This window comes from Homo sapiens, chromosome 4 (genome assembly GCF_000001405.40).
Source record: "Homo sapiens chromosome 4, GRCh38.p14 Primary Assembly".
NCBI lineage: Eukaryota > Metazoa > Chordata > Mammalia > Primates > Hominidae > Homo > Homo sapiens.
In genome coordinates, this window is record NC_000004.12 from 10499942 (window position 1) to 10515471 (window position 15530).

The window sequence follows — 15530 nt, forward strand, 5'->3', positions numbered from 1 at the left end:
CCTATCTTCAAATACAGTCACATTCTGGGCTACTGAGGGTTAGGACTTCAACGTGTGGGTTTTTTGGAATGAGGGAGGCACGATTCAGCCTATAACAATGCACACCCCCAGATAAAACTGAGACCTGGAGATGTTAAACAGGAATCATTAAATTATTGAAGTCTAGGCTTTAAAAGAACATTTACATTTGAGGAAATTGAAGCCCAGAGAAGTTAAGTCACTGGACTGAGCTCACATCCTTAGAAATGGTGGCTCATAACTAACTTCGTTCCTTCCTTCCTTTACCCCTTCCTTCATCAACAGAAGAGTTGCAAGAGAAGCCTCTCCTTCCCCCTTCCGTTACTGCCTGTGTGTCTTTGGCCATTTATTTAATTTTCTGAGCCCCAGTTTTCCTACATCTAAGATAGGAAAAATCATGACACCAAAGAGTTGTTGAGGATCAAAATAAGATACTGCTGGCTGGGCACAGTGGCTCACGCCTGTAATCCCAGCACTTTGGGAGGCCAAGGCAGGCAGATCATCTGAAGTCAGTAGTTCGAGACCAGCCTGACCAACATGGTGAAACCCCATCACTACTAAAATATAAAAATTAGCCGGGTTTGGTGGGGCATGCCTGTAATTCCCGCTACTCAGGAGGCTGAGGCAGGAGAATCACTTGAACCTGGGAGGAGGAGGTTGCAGTGAGCCGAGATCTGTACTCTGGCCTGGGTGACAGAGTGCGTCTCTGTCTCAAAAAAAAAAAAAATGCAGATAGACTAGGCCTGGCATATACATAGTCAGTGAAAATTTATCCTTTCTTGTGGATTGATTTATGTTATTCACGAATATTTTAATTGATTCACTCTTTCGCCTCCATCAGCAGATCTGTACTGAGGACAGGCATGCCCAACATAGCCCTAATGCTGTGGCTGGGTTCACATTCATTTTGGGGACACGAGTCTATAGATAAGGAATTCTGACAGACATCAGAAATGTCTGCAGTGGCATTTCAGTGCTGAGGAGGGAAAGGAATTTGGCATTAGTGTATGCTCCGCTGGAAGCTTCCTGGGAGGCAGAGTTTAGATGTGTCTTGTAGAATGAGTTTTCTTTAACAGGCAACGCAGGGAATGGGGGTGCATGAAATGGTCAGAACTGGTCGCTGGCCTGGTAGGCCAAAGTGTAAGATGTGCAGATATTTGTGGAAGGGGTGGGGAGGTCAGACTGCATCCCTCTCCTTCAGGGCGGCATCCTCTTCCTCCAGGGTGACATCCCCCAAACTCTTCCTTTATTTGTTGCGCTTAGCCTGGAACAGGGAGGCTGTTAAGTTATACCCACCTCATCTCCTCTGAGTCCTGTCCCCAGGGCAAACTGCTGATTCCTCTCCAGGAAGCGTATTTTTACATTGTAGACTTTGTTCTCATAAAACACAGCCAAAACATAGGGCTCTTCCTTGGATTTTGTGGAACAATCTCGGACCAAGAAACTACCATCCTGAAGCAAAAAGAGTAACAGTCATCTTTTCAGACACGCCAGCATTCTGCCCTTGTAATGGTGGCAACAATGATGTCTGCATGCATGAGATTCCCAGATGGATTTAGTTTTTGGTAAACCACTTTAATTCAGTAAGTTTTTACTGAGTGTCTGTATGCCTAAGGGTTCTTGTCACTTTCTGAGATGTGTACCAGTTGGATCTTGACACTCTCTTCTTGAAAGTCTTTCATTGAGGCCAGGTGCGGTGGCTCACCCCTGTAATCCCAGCACTTTGGGAGGCCAAGGCAGGCGGATCACCGGAGGTCAGGAGTTTGAAACCAGGCCTGCCAACACAGAAAAACCCCGTCTCTACTAAAATTACAAGAATTAGCCGGGCATGGTGGCGGGCGCCTGTAATCCCAGCTACTCAGGAGGCTGAGGCAGGAGAATCACTTGAACCCAGGAGGCAGAGATTGCAGTGAGCCAAGATCGTGCCACTGCACTTCAGCCTGGGCAACAGAGCAGGACTCTGGTTCCAAAACAAAAACAAAAAGAAAAAAGAAAATCTTTCATCATTTCCTACTGACCTGGGCATAGTGCTCATGAACTTAGCATGACCAACCTATCTTGCAGTTTGATCTCTCATTGCTCCTGCAGCTTTCTGCCTCTGGCTCCTGGCTCCAGCCAAGCCACCATTTCCCAAAGGCACCATCTGCTTTGGGGCTCCCAGATTTTGCATGATGTATTAGTCTGTTTTCACACTTCTATAAAGAAATACCTGAGACTGGGTAATTTATAAAGGAAAGAGGTTTAATTGACTCAGTTCCACATGGCTGGGGAAGCCTCAGGAAACTTATAATCAGGCGGAAGGCGAAGGGGAAGCAAGCTTGGACCTTCTCACATGGCAGCAGGAGAGAGCAGAGTGAGGAGTGAAGGGAGAGGAGCCCCTTATAAAACCATCCTATCTCATGAGAACTCACTCACTAGAACAGCATGGGGGAAACTGCCCCCAAGATCCAGGTCTCTCCCTAGACACGTGGGGATTATGGGGATTACAATTCAAGATGAGATCTGTGTAGGGTCACAGACAAACCATGCCACATGTGCTACTCCTTCCTCATGGAAAAGCTCTTCTCCTGCCCCCTTCTTGATGTATTCATCTCTCAATGTTCACATATTTCCTCTTCTGCTTGATGCTCGGGTATTATTCTAGAGATAGTGGGAGCCACAGCAGGCTTTGAGCAGAAAAAACTTTTACCTAATAAATTGGACTTCTGTGTGGAAAGATGTCTATGCAGAATTAGGGTTCCTGAAAGAGACATGGGGCTTTTAAGTCATGGATATCAAACTGAATGGAGAGGCCCTTTACGGGAGGAGGAATTGTAGCCTATGTTGAGGTGAGGGCCAGTATAGGGCAAGGAAGCAAAGACAGAAAAGGCCCGGAGATGCCTGAAAGATGACGGAAGACCAGGAGATTCAGAGTGACAGAAGCCAAGAGGTGGAGACTGAGGGTTTCCAAAAGCGGGTCAACAGCATTGAATGGTCCAAGAGCTGAGAACAGGACAATGATTAGAAATAATTTGTACACTCCAGAGAATAATTCAGAATGATACTAAGATCTGGTTGTAAAAGATTGAGAAATGGAGCAGTCCTCCTGAACGTGAACACATCTACCAGGCTTAGTTTTGTGGTTACATTGTGTTATTTATATAATGAAAAACACTGAAAAATCTGTAAGTGTAATTGTGTGTATTGTATAGATGGTTATAAGTGATCTATGAAGAATAGAGGCCGGGTGTGGTGCCTGACACCTGTAATCCCAACACTTGGGAGGCCGACGCGGGTGGATCACTTGAGGTCAGGAGTTCGAGACTTAGCCCGGCTGACATGGGGAAACCTCATCTCTACTAAAAATACAAAAATTAGCCAGGCATGGTATCATGTCCCTGTTATCCTAGCTACTCCAGAGGCTGAGGCAGGAGAATCGCTTGGACCCAGGAGGCGGAGGTTGCAGTGAGCCGAGATCATGCCACTGCACTCCAGCCTGGGTGACAGAGTGAGACCCTGTCTCAAAAAAAAAAAAGTATGATAAATATAGATTATATATATAATGATTTATAGCTATAATAATAAATTATGATATATAATTCTTTATATAGATTTTATAATAGCTATATATAATTATATACTTCAATAATGAATATTTATAAATATAGATATATAATAATGGTAATAATACTATATAATATAACATAACAATACTTTAAGTATACAAAATTTAGAAATAATACTGTAACATGATAGTGATGTTATGATGATACTGGTAGCTAAGGTGCATTGAGATTTGCCAAGCACTTTACACACATTGTTTCATTTAGAGACTTTTTTTTTTTTTTTTTTTTTTTTTTTTGAGATGGAGTCTCCCTCTGTTGCCCAGGCTGGAATGCAGTGGCACAATCTCAGCTCACTGCAACCTCCGCCTCCAGGGTTAAAGTGATTCTCCTGCCTCAGCCTCCTGAGTAGCTGGGATAACAGGCACCCAACACCACGCCTAGCTAATTTTTGTCTTCTTTGTAGAGACGGGGTTTCACCATGTTGGCCAGGCTGGTCTCAAACTCCTGACCTCGTGATCTGTCCACCTCAGCCGCCCGAAGTGCTGGGATTATACGTGTGAGCCATCGCGCCCGGCTCATTTGCAGGGTCTTTACATAAACATCTTTGGGTTCTTTTTTTTTTTTTTTTTTTTTTGAGATGGAGTCATGCTCTGTCGCCCAGGTTGGAGTGCAGTGGCTCAATCTCGGCTCACTGCAAGCTCCGCCTCCTGGGTTCACGCCGTTCTCCTGCCTCAGCCTCCTGAGTGGCTGGGACTACAGGCGCCCGCCACCACGCCCGGCTAACTTTTTGTATTTTTAGTAGAGATGAGGTTTCACCGTGTTAGCCAGGATGGTCTCGATCTCCTGACCTCGAGATTCGCCCGCCTCGGGCTCCCAAAGTGCTGGGATTACAGGCGTGAGCCACTGCGTGCCCCGCCATAAACGTTGGGTTCTTTACATAAATATTGTTGGAAAAATTTTAGTCTCATTTTACAGGTAAAGGAATAAAGGTCGAAAGGCTTAAGTGAATACCCTAAAGCATCACGGTTACTAAATGGAATACCGAAAAGCCAAACCAAATTCTCACCCTTTAAATACACAAGCCTCTGACTATATAAAATAGGATGGCGGAATTTTCTGGAACTTGTTCTACCTAAAATGTTTAGTCATAATTGAAGCCTTAATGTTCAAGCACAGAGCACTGCCAAAGATCAGAAGGAGAGAAGAGGCCAAAACTCATGGCCAAGTTTTGGGTTTGTCCTCTTAAACTCTGAAACGATTTGTCAAAATAAATCTGAGTAATGCTGAAATTTAAAATAAATTATCTTTCATAAATGAGAAACACATTTTGACAGAACTGAGACAAACAGAAAAGGAAAATATGAAAAGGAAAATGTGAAGTCATTTAACTGAGATTTTATTTTCTTAATGTTTCTTGGGAAGAGGCAGAAGCAGGCACACAGAAAGAGAGGAAGGGAATATTTGCTGAGCGCCCAAATGCTGCTGGAAGAGCATCAGGTGACATGCATATTGCTTTTCCAGCACAATCCACACATGGGCTTCTGGAAGGAGGTCTACTAAGAGTAGTTCTTCCGACGGAAAACAGGCTCTGTGAGTGCAATGGTGTACTGGGCACTGATTAGCCAAGATGGACAGCCAGGGTTGGAATCTACCATCACCAGGTTTGCCACTCTACCAAGGCATGGCCAGATTCCCTGGAAAGAGGATAGGAAGGTCCTCAAGGAGCTGCATCAGCCAACCACCCACGGCTCTCCACCCGGGCTGTGAAAAGAACTGTGAGGGCTACTAGAGTCAGCTGGAATTTTGTGAAAAGAGCACTGATCTTGAATACATGTTCTGTCAGTTTCTCTGCTTTATGACCAACACATTGGCTTAGCCTCAGTTTCCTCATCTGGGAAATGGGATGTTCCATTTATTCTGTGTATGTTCAAGATACTTTGATAGCAATGGTATCATTTCCTACCACTGCTATAACAAATTACCATGAAATTAGTGATGTAAAACAGAAGCGTATTCTCTTATAGTTCTGGAGGTCAAAAGTCTAACATGAATCTTGCTGGGCTAAAATCAATAGGAGAGACTTTGTTTCCATGACTTTTCCAGTTTCTGGAGGCCAACAAGATCCCTGGCTTGTGGTTCTCCCATTCATCTGACCTCACTTTCATTATCACGTCCCTCCTCTGACTCTGACACTCCTGGTTCCCTCTTACAAGGACCTTTGTGATTATACTGAGCCCCCCCAGATAATGATGCATGATAACTTCCCCATCTCAACATCCTTACCTTCACATCTGCAAAGTCCCCTTTTCTATGAAGGTGACATATTCATAGGTTCTGGGGATTAGAATGTGAACATCTTTGGGGGGGCATGATTCTGTTTATCATAGCAACTTATACATATAATTTATTTAATTTTACAACATCAATTCTGAGAGCTAAGTTTTATTAAAATTTATTGTAGATCTATCATTTATTCACTAACTAATTCATTCATTTTTAGGTTACCTCCTTCAACAGTGACCATTGTACTGGTTAGCTGGGGATAGGTTTTGATGTTGCATCAGTCTTGAGACACTTTCTATAACTTCTAAGCAATCTCGTATAGTTCTCTGCACATAGTCATCATTCGATAATCATTTGCTCTTTGGGATGTTGGTTGTGGTAGTCATTTGACCTGATGACAAGTATTCCAGTTCTTTTCTCCTTTTGGCCACATGTAGGTTTGTACTTCCTCACCTTCTTCGAAGTTAAGTTTGGTCATGTGACTTCCTTTGGTTAAAGATGTGAAAGCAGAAGTAAAATATGTTACTTCTGAGAGGATGTATTAAGAGTCAGAGTGTGAAGGTAGAAGCACACCAGTGAGATGCAGCCCCTGGCAGCCTGGGTTTATCCACCCAAACCCGTCCTGAACATGGTATGCAAGCAAAAAATAAAGTTTCATTATGTTAAGCAACTGAGATCTTGGGGTTGTTGCTGCAGCATAACCTACCATATCCTGACTATTGCAGCCTTCACAATCTCTGCTCCTTTCTCGAAGAAGTGAGACATAAAGACCCAACAGTACTTTGGGCAAACCTTGATTAAGGAGATAAACCTTGAGGAAAGCAGAAGGAAGCCCCTTCTATTGTGACCTCTATAGTCCAGTTTCCAGATTTCATCTTCAAAATAGTTCCTTGGGTTGATTTTACTGTTTCATTTTACAAATAAATAAATCTACATGGGAAGTTATTTAGAAACCTGAGAAAGCCACACAGCTGATAATTAGCATGACCAAGCCTCAGGCCTGAAACTCTCCATGTTTTTTATTTTTTTTGAGAAAGAGTCTCGCTCTGTCGCCCAGGCTGGAGTGCGGTGGCGCGATCTCAGCTCACTGCAAGCTCTGCCTCCCGGGTTCACGCCATTCTCCTGCCTCAGCCTCCCGAGTAGCTGGGACTACAGGCGCCTGCCACCATGCCCGGCCAATTTTTTTTTTTGGTATTTTTAGTAGAGACGGGTTTTCACCGTGTTAGCCAGGATGGTCTCGATCTCCTGACCTCGTGAGCCGCCTGCCTCGGCCTCCAAAAGTGCTGGGATTACAGGCATGAGCCACCGCGTCCGGCTGAAACTCTCCATGTTTTTTGTTTTTGAGACGAAGTCTTGCTCTGTGGCCCAGGCTGGAGTGCAGTGGCACAATCTCGGCTCACAGCAACCTCTGCCTCCCGGCTTCAAGCGATTCTCTTGTCTCAGCCTCCCGAGTAGCTGAGATTATAGGCACCCACCACCACGCCTGGCTAATTTTTGTATTTTTAGTAGAGATGAGGTTTCACCATGTTGGCCAGGCTGGTCTTGAACTCCTGACCTCAGGTGATCCACCCGCCTCATCCTGCAAAGTGCTGGGATTACAGGCGTGAACTGCCGCATCCGGTCCTCTCCATGTTTTTTTGTTTTCTGTTTTTATTTATTTATTTATTTATTTATTTATTTATTTATTTATTTTTGAGACAGCATCTCACTCTGTTGCCCAGGCTGGAGTGCAGTGGCACAGTCTTGGCTCACTGCAACCTCCGCCTCCCAGGTTCAAGTGATTCTCGTGTCTCAGCCTCCTGAGTAGCTTGGATTACAGATGCGTGCCACCATGCCTGGCTAATTTTATTTTTTATTTTTTATTTTTTATTTTTAGTAGAAACGGGGTTTCACCATGTTGTTCAGGCTGGTCTCAAACTCCTCACCTCAAATGAGCCACCTACCTCGGCCTCCCAAGGTGCTAGGATTACAGGTGTGAGCCACTGCGCCCGGCCTGAAACTCTCCATGTTAAATGCCCTTTTCGACTACAGCCTCCCAGCACTGAGAAATGCAGGGTGATGCAGGAAATAATACATGAAAGCAAGCTGCTTGTTACGTCTTGTGACACATAAGCAGAGAACCTTAAGATGCCTATAGAAACAATAATGATGGGCCACGTAGAAGGCATTACCTTGTTCTCCTTCATGAATGCCTCTTCCACTGCCTGGCGGCTGTATTCTCCAATGTACCATTCATTGTGCTGGACATCCTGCAGAACAGAATCAATGATAAATATTTTAGGGTCAATGGGAAGTATGAATTATTGATTAATTAATTCAAAATTTACTTTTGCTCCACCAGTGCCTAATCATAGTGTAATCTGTAGTAGATATTCAGTACCTAACATTTAGTCCCTGAACTTGGAGAAGCCCACAGATGCTTGGGGCAGAGAGACAGAAAAAGTTACTGCAGCTGGGGAATTCTGAAGTCTATGGGAATCTGTTGAGAAAGGTCCTTCAGCACCACCTTCAGAATGGATAATAAGCCTGCTATCTATCAGTGCTTTCTGAATCTTCAGCTGCTGAGGCTTGTTGAGGTGGAAATGTATACTGTTTGTGAAGCCTACACTGCCCTAGTCACATGCAAACAGCAGGGAGGGAGAAAGAGGTGCGGAAGGAGCCCATCTCTGCCACTTCCCCAGAGGCACAGATGCCGCTGAGCTATGATTCGGATCCTAGTTTATCTAGCTTTCTCCCTGGGCCGCACTGCTTTATTTATATCAATGTTAAATGATTCTAAATTCTTTTGATGATAAAATCCAGACTAACTGGGAGAAGGAAGGGCAGTCAGGGAGATGCATCATGGACTTGCAATTCCTTCACAGGGTTCCGAGAATCATAATATTAAATAACCCCCCTTGTGAGTCCAGCATCTATAAGGTCCTTCCTCATTTAGTAGCATGTCAATCCATCCCTACAGCACATCTTTGAAGTAGGCATGTCATGTAGTATAGACCCTAGTGAAGATGGACAGTGAAGTTTCAGAAAGTCAAAATCTGGGCTGGGTGTGGTGGCTCAATGCCTGTAATCCCAGCACTTTGGGAGGCCAAGGCGGGCGGATCACAAGGTCAGGAGATCGAGACCATCCTGGCCAACATGGTGAAACCCCGTCTCTACTAAAACTACAAAAATTAGCCGGGTGTAGTGACGTGTGCCTATAGTCCTAGCTACTTGGGAGGCTGAGGCAGGAGAATCGCTTGAACCTGGGAGGCGGCGGTTGCAGTGAGCCGAGATCGTGCCACTGCACTCCAGCCTGGTGACAGAGTGAGACTCGGTCTCAAAAAAAAAAAAAAAAAAAGGAAGTCTAAACCTGTCACATGGTTGGCAAGAGTTAGGTACGTGACATCAGGTCTTTGGTCTCTCATTCATTTGGAGTCTGTGGTCCACTGGAAAGTAAACCTGATATATTAAATACTGAGATTCTGATTCTGTTCACATGATGTGATGGACACCACATGATCTGATGTGAACACCATCTGGAATGGTATGAGCTAGCTCTAACTCAACCCTGCAGCCTCACTTCCTGACACCCCATTTCAGCCATGGGCCTGGCCAGACAAAAGTGCTTGTACTCTGGACACACACAGCTTTAGGGATAGACCAGAACTGGCCCTACTGCCTGGAATCCCTCCTGGTCCTCACCTCTGCCTACCCAGCTCAGGCATTCTTTTGCATCAAGATTGGGACCAAAAGTCACCTCTTTTTTTTTTTTTTTGAGATGGAATTTTGCTCTTGTTGCCCTGGCTTGAGTGCAATGGCACGATCTCAGCTCAATGCAACCTCTGCCTCTTGGGTTCCAGAAGTTCGCCTACCCCAGCCTCCCAAGTGGCTGGGATTACAGGCATGTGGCCACCATGCCCGGCTAATTTTTGTATTTTTAGTAGAGACAGGGTTTCACCGTGTTGCTCAGGCTGGTCTCAAACTCCTGACCTCAGGTGATCCACATGCCTCAGCCTCCCATAGTGCTGGGGTTACAGGTGTGAGTCACTGCACCTGGCCAAAAAGTCACCTCTTATTTGACCTAGTCCCTACCCCCAGGGGAGAGGTAGTGCTGAAAAGGTCCATGGCAGAACCGGCTCTGCCTCACTCCAGCAAAGCCACGTGACAGGCTCTAGAGACAAAGGAAGCCTTGGAGCCCCATCTCCTGACTGAAGCATGAGCTGTCTGAGCTTGAGGTGGTCTACTGCTTCCAGGGGACCTCTTGGCCAGTCCAGGGACTTGGAAGAACTCAGTCATGGTGCATTTCATCAAGTCGGTTTTTATTTATTTGTCCAAGTTGGAAGACATTTAGAGATTAGTCCTGTGTTTCTCCAGGTGTGATCATGAGGGATGGCTGGTGAGTGTGGCTGGTGAGTGTAGCTGGTGCTCAGAAACTGAACTACGTATCTCAGAATCACTTGCGGGGGGAGGGGGGAAGTCCCCTTCTAATTCTCTTTCTAGCCCCCCTGAATAATTCAAAAGGAATGTTTCATTTTGGCCAAATATGTCGTTAATATCTCTCTGCCATTTCTAATCTCTTCTTTAACAGAAGAAGAGCAGTCCTTATGCTGACAGCCATTAGCAGGTGATGGGATCCTGCTACAATTTAATAGCGTGTTTTGTTTGCGTTGCAATGACTTTTTAAAAAAATTAGGGAAAAATATTGTAAATCAAAAATAAAATTCTAAGGTCCCCCAACCATCTGAATGGACTTCCTCCTCTGCCAGGGCACTGTTAACATTTAACCTGAAAGACTAGTTTGGGTCATGATGGGAAGTAGGGGTCAGACACGCCTCATAGCTCTTCGGCACTAACATCTATCCAGACCTTAAGTCTGAGAAGAAGCATTTACAATCTATTCTCTCTGAAGCCTGCTACCTGAAGGCTTCATCTGTACAATGAGAACTTTGGTCTCCACAAGGCCTTATCTTCACCGATAATAAGCCCTCTATCTATCAGTGATATTCCCTTTCTATTGATCCCAGGTCTTTAGATAAACTCAACCTATTGCTAAAATTTACCTATAACCTGGAAGGCCCCACTTCAAGCTGTCCCACCTTTCTGGACTGAAACAATGTATTTGTTAAATGTAATCCCAACACTTTGGGAGGCCAAGGCAGGTGGATCACCTGAGGTCAGGAGTTCAAGATCAGCCTGGCCAACGTGGTGAAACCCCGTCTGTACTGAAAATACAAAATTAGCCGTGAGTGGTGGCAACATGCCTGTAATCCCAGATACTTGGGAGGCTGAGGCAGGAGAATCACTTGAAGCCGGGAGGTGGGGCGGGGGTTGCAGTGAACTGAGATTGCCCCATGGCACTCCAGCCTGGGCAAAAAGAGCGGAAACTCTGTCTCAAAAAAAATTAAAAAAAAAAAAAGCATATTTGATTGAAGTCTCCTATCTCCCTAAAAAGTATAAAACCAAGCTGCACCCTGACCCCCTTGGGCACATGTTCTCAGGATCTCTGGAGAGCTGTGTCACGGGCCATGGTCACTCATATTTGGCTCAGAATAAATCTCTTCAAATATTTTCCAGAATTTGACTCTTTTCGGCAATAATATAATAAGATTTACCATTTTAACCATTTTTAGGTGTATAATTCAGTGGCATTAAGTACATTCACATTGCTTTACAGCCATTTCCGCTATCCATCTCCAAGTTTCTAATGACTCCAAACTGAAACTCTGTATCCATTAAAGAATAACTCTCCATTACCTCCACCTCCTTCCTCAGGGCCCAGTTACCACCATCCTACCTTCCGTCTCTATGAATTTGCCTATTCTAGGTACCTTGTATTCCTGGAATCATATATTTGTCCTCCATGTCTGACTTATTTCACTCAGCATAATGTTTTCAAGGTTCTTGTATATTGTATCACGTTAGAATTTTATTCCTTTTTAGAGCTGTAAACTGTTTCATTGTGTGTGTGTGTATACCATTCTGTTTATCCATTCATCTGTCAATGGACATATAGGTTATTTCCGTCTTTTGTCTATTGTAAATAATGTTATGAACATGGGTGTACAAATATCTGAGTCTCTGCTTTCAATTCTTTTGGGCATAGACTAAGGAATGGAATACTTCTAAAGTCACTTTCTACAATATATAATACTAGTTAAAAAAATTAACCAGAGTAGTGATATAAAGTGAAAACAGGTCACCTTAAAGAATATTATTAACTAAATGTTATTATTGACAGGACATAGATATGCCACAAATCATAAAGGTATACTCAAATAGCTGAAATCAGGGAAATCCTGATGTGGTCCAAGCCTGTCTCATGCCTATGAGGAATCTGGGATCTGGGAGGGAGCGTAATCTTGTGTGGACCTCTAGTTAGAACCAAGTGATCCCCATGTTTACGAAGAAGATGAAAGAGCAAAAGGAAGCCGAGTGCATGACAAGGGACAATAAAAGAAGGATATGCATTTTTTTTTTTTTTTGTGATGAAGTCTAGCTCTGTTGCCCAGGCTGGAGTGCAGTAGTGAGATCTTGGCTCACTGCAACCTCCATCTCCCAGGTTCAAGCGATTCTTCTGCCTCAGCCTCCCAAGTAGCTGGGATTACAGGCATGTGCCACCACGCCTGGCTAATTTTTTTATTTTTGGTAGAGATAGAGTTTCTCCATGTTGGTCAAGCTGGTCTCGAACTCCTGACCTCAGGTGACCTACCCACCTTGGCCTCCCAAAGTGCTGAGATTACAGGCATGAGCCACCGTGCCTGGCCAGGATGTGAAAATATTTTCCAAAGTCTAATTTAAGATTATGAGACCCTTTTAGAATTAGGTAGAAATTAATATGAATATAAGGATAACAAAAGAGCTTTAGGATACTGTAGGAATTCACCAGAGATATTCTATACATTTGCTTCTGCTTAGAAATCTTCACGAACTCTGTAGCAGGACAGTGAGTAATAGCAGGATATGGGATGGAGACCTGGAAGAGGCACATCCTCTGGGGCTTTACAGTGAAAGACTTTAGTAAGTAACATCCAATGTGATGGAGAGAAAGCATACAAGATACAGTGAAACTTTATCCCCCCCACCATAGGGTAATGTAAGTAAAAAATGGTCCAAAAATAACCAATTGTAGTGAATGAGCATATTTTAGAAAGAGACCACAAAATAGATGACAGACACACAAGAACACAGTTAGTATCCATTTGCATCTCCCCACTCTTTACATCTCCATTAGGGTGGGGATCATAACCTCTAGCACATTGTCTGGCACATAATAACTGCTCAACTAATGGTCGCTGGACTGTTCAACTGAAATGAGTGTGTAATACATGGATCTTTTGCTGGAAAAAAATTGCAACCTGTATATCCTAGTTAACCCCCCACAAGATTATTGGACAGCTGGTAAATATAAAACACGTGTCTAAATATCTGTATTTTTTGGATTAATTTTTAAAAAAACACTTTAGAATCTGGAAACATGCCAGTCAAAGAATCTGGTGAGAGACCAATGTAATATGTTATATAGCAACATATTTAAAAATATTAAAATACTTTAAAAATATTAAAACCCAGTAACATATAGCCAGAAGGGAAAAAGTTAAAGTCAAACATAAATAATCTCCTTTTGGGCATTGTTCAGGAAAGCTCTATTTAGATGCCAAGTACATCTAGAAGGACTTGGCAGAGAAGTGTCTGCTTACCTTTCTATCAGACCTTTTGGGGAAAGGTGGTCTCCAGCTTGTGTATTTATAGGGCAGTATATTTTCGTGAGGGCTGCAGCTGGCTGGAGGCTGGCATCTCTGAGGAGAACAGGGCTGCATGCCTCCTCTATGATCTGGAAAGGTTAAATTCACATTTCAGTGTGATTTTGTGACTGGTGCAGTCTGTCCCCCACCTCCAGAAAGGAGCTGAAACCCTTTGCTCCTTCCTATATCTGTGAGGACCTTCTTGGTCAACACCATATCAGCTCACTCAGTGACCTTAATTCTCTCTGTTTTGTTCTCTACCTGTAGCTTTGCCCTTCCTCCTCTCTTTCCTTAGGGCTCCCAGAGTCATCTTTTTTTTTTTAAATTATTATTATTATTATTATTATTTTATTTTTTTTTAAATTATACTTTAAATTTTAGGGTACATGTGCACATTGTGCAGGTTAGTTACATATGTATACATGTGCCATGCTGGTGCGCTGCACCCACTAACTCGTCATCTAGCATTAGGTATATCTCCCAATGCTATCCCTCCCCCCTCCCCCCTCCCCACCACAGTCCCCAGAGTGTGATATTCCCCTTCCTGTGTCCATGTGATCTTATTGTTCAATTCCCACCTATGAGTGAGAATATGCGGTGTTTGGTTTTTTGTTCTTGCGATAGTTTACTGAGAATGATGGTTTCCAATTTCATCCATGTCCCTACAAAGGACATGAACTCATCATTTTTTATGGCTGCATAGTATTCCATGGTGTATATGTGCCACATTTTCTTAATCCAGTCTATCATTGTTGGACATTTGGGTTGGTTCCAAGTCTTTGCTATTGTGAATAATGCCGCAATAAACATACGTGTGCCTGTGTCTTTATAGCAGCATAATTTATAGTCATTTGGGTATATACCCAGTAATGGGATGGCCGGACCAAAACAGAGATATAGATCAATGGAACAGAACAGAGCCCTCAGAAATAACGCTGCATACCTACAACTATCTGATCTTTGACAAACCTGAGAAAAACAAGCAATGGGGAAAGGATTCCCTATTTAATAAATGGTGCTGGGAAAACTGGCTAGCCATATGTAGAAAGCTGAAACTGGATCCCTTCCTTACACCTTATACAAAAATCAATTCAAGATGGATTAAAGATTTAAACGTTAGACCAAAAACCATAAAAACCCTAGAAGAAAACCTAGGCATTACCATTCAGGACATAGGCGTGGGCAAGGACTTCATGTCCAAAACACCAAAAGCAATGGCAACCAAAGCCAAAATTGACAAATGGGATCTAATTAAACTAAAGAGCTTCTGCACAGCAAAAGAAACTACCATCAGAGTGAACAGGCAACCTACAACATGGGAGAAAATTTTCGCAACCTGCTACTCATCTGACAAAGGGCTAATATCCAGAATCTACAATGAACTCAAACAAATTTACAAGAAAAAAACAAACAATCCCAGAGTCATCTTTTAAGAATGTAATTCTGGGCCGGGTGTGGTGGCTCATGCCTGTAATCCCAGCACTTCGGGAGGCCGAGGCGGGTCGGATCACCTGAGGTCAGGAGTTTGAGACCAGCCTGGCTTACATGGTGAAACCCCGTCTCTACTAAAAATACAAAAATTATCCGGGCATGGTGGCGTGCTCCTGTAATCCCAGCTACTAGGGAGGCTGAGGCAGGAGAATCGCTTGAGCCTGGGAAGCGGAGGTTGCAATGAGCCGAGATCATGCCATTGCACTCCAGCCTGGGCAACAGAGCAAGACTCCATCTCAAAAAAAAAGAATTCTGATATGATTTCCTTTCCACCTAGAAAAAAATGTAAATGATTTCCTTCTGTCCATAAGGCTCTGAATGGACTGTCTACTCATATTTCTCCATCCTCATCCTGATTTCTCTCCCAATTGTCTACTCTGTTCTGTGTGTAATGAACTCTGTTCCTTTTCTTAAACATGACAAGTTCATTCTCTACTTTGGAAACACCATTTTTTTTTTTTCAACTTGAAAG

General features: G+C 43.6%; 1 protein-coding gene and 1 long non-coding RNA gene across 4 annotated transcripts in view; one reads left to right on the top strand and one right to left on the bottom strand.

The window, feature by feature from the left end:
- Window positions 1–15530, bottom strand: part of CLNK (cytokine dependent hematopoietic cell linker) — a 248452-nt gene that overhangs the window by 13547 nt on the left and 219375 nt on the right. For all 3 annotated transcript variants that reach the window (XM_011513775.3, NM_052964.4, XM_017007684.2), the window contains exons 16-18: window positions 13523–13656; window positions 8018–8095; window positions 1315–1470 (exon numbers count right to left, since the gene is read on the bottom strand). In XM_011513775.3, coding sequence (XP_011512077.1) covers window positions 1315–1470; window positions 8018–8095; window positions 13523–13656 — 368 coding nt within the window. The remainder of the gene's footprint in view (window positions 1–1314; window positions 1471–8017; window positions 8096–13522; window positions 13657–15530) is intronic.
- The window catches only part of LOC105374482 (uncharacterized), a 41073-nt gene that overhangs the window by 10829 nt on the left and 14714 nt on the right, over window positions 1–15530 (top strand). The gene's annotated exons all lie outside the window — the stretch shown is intronic.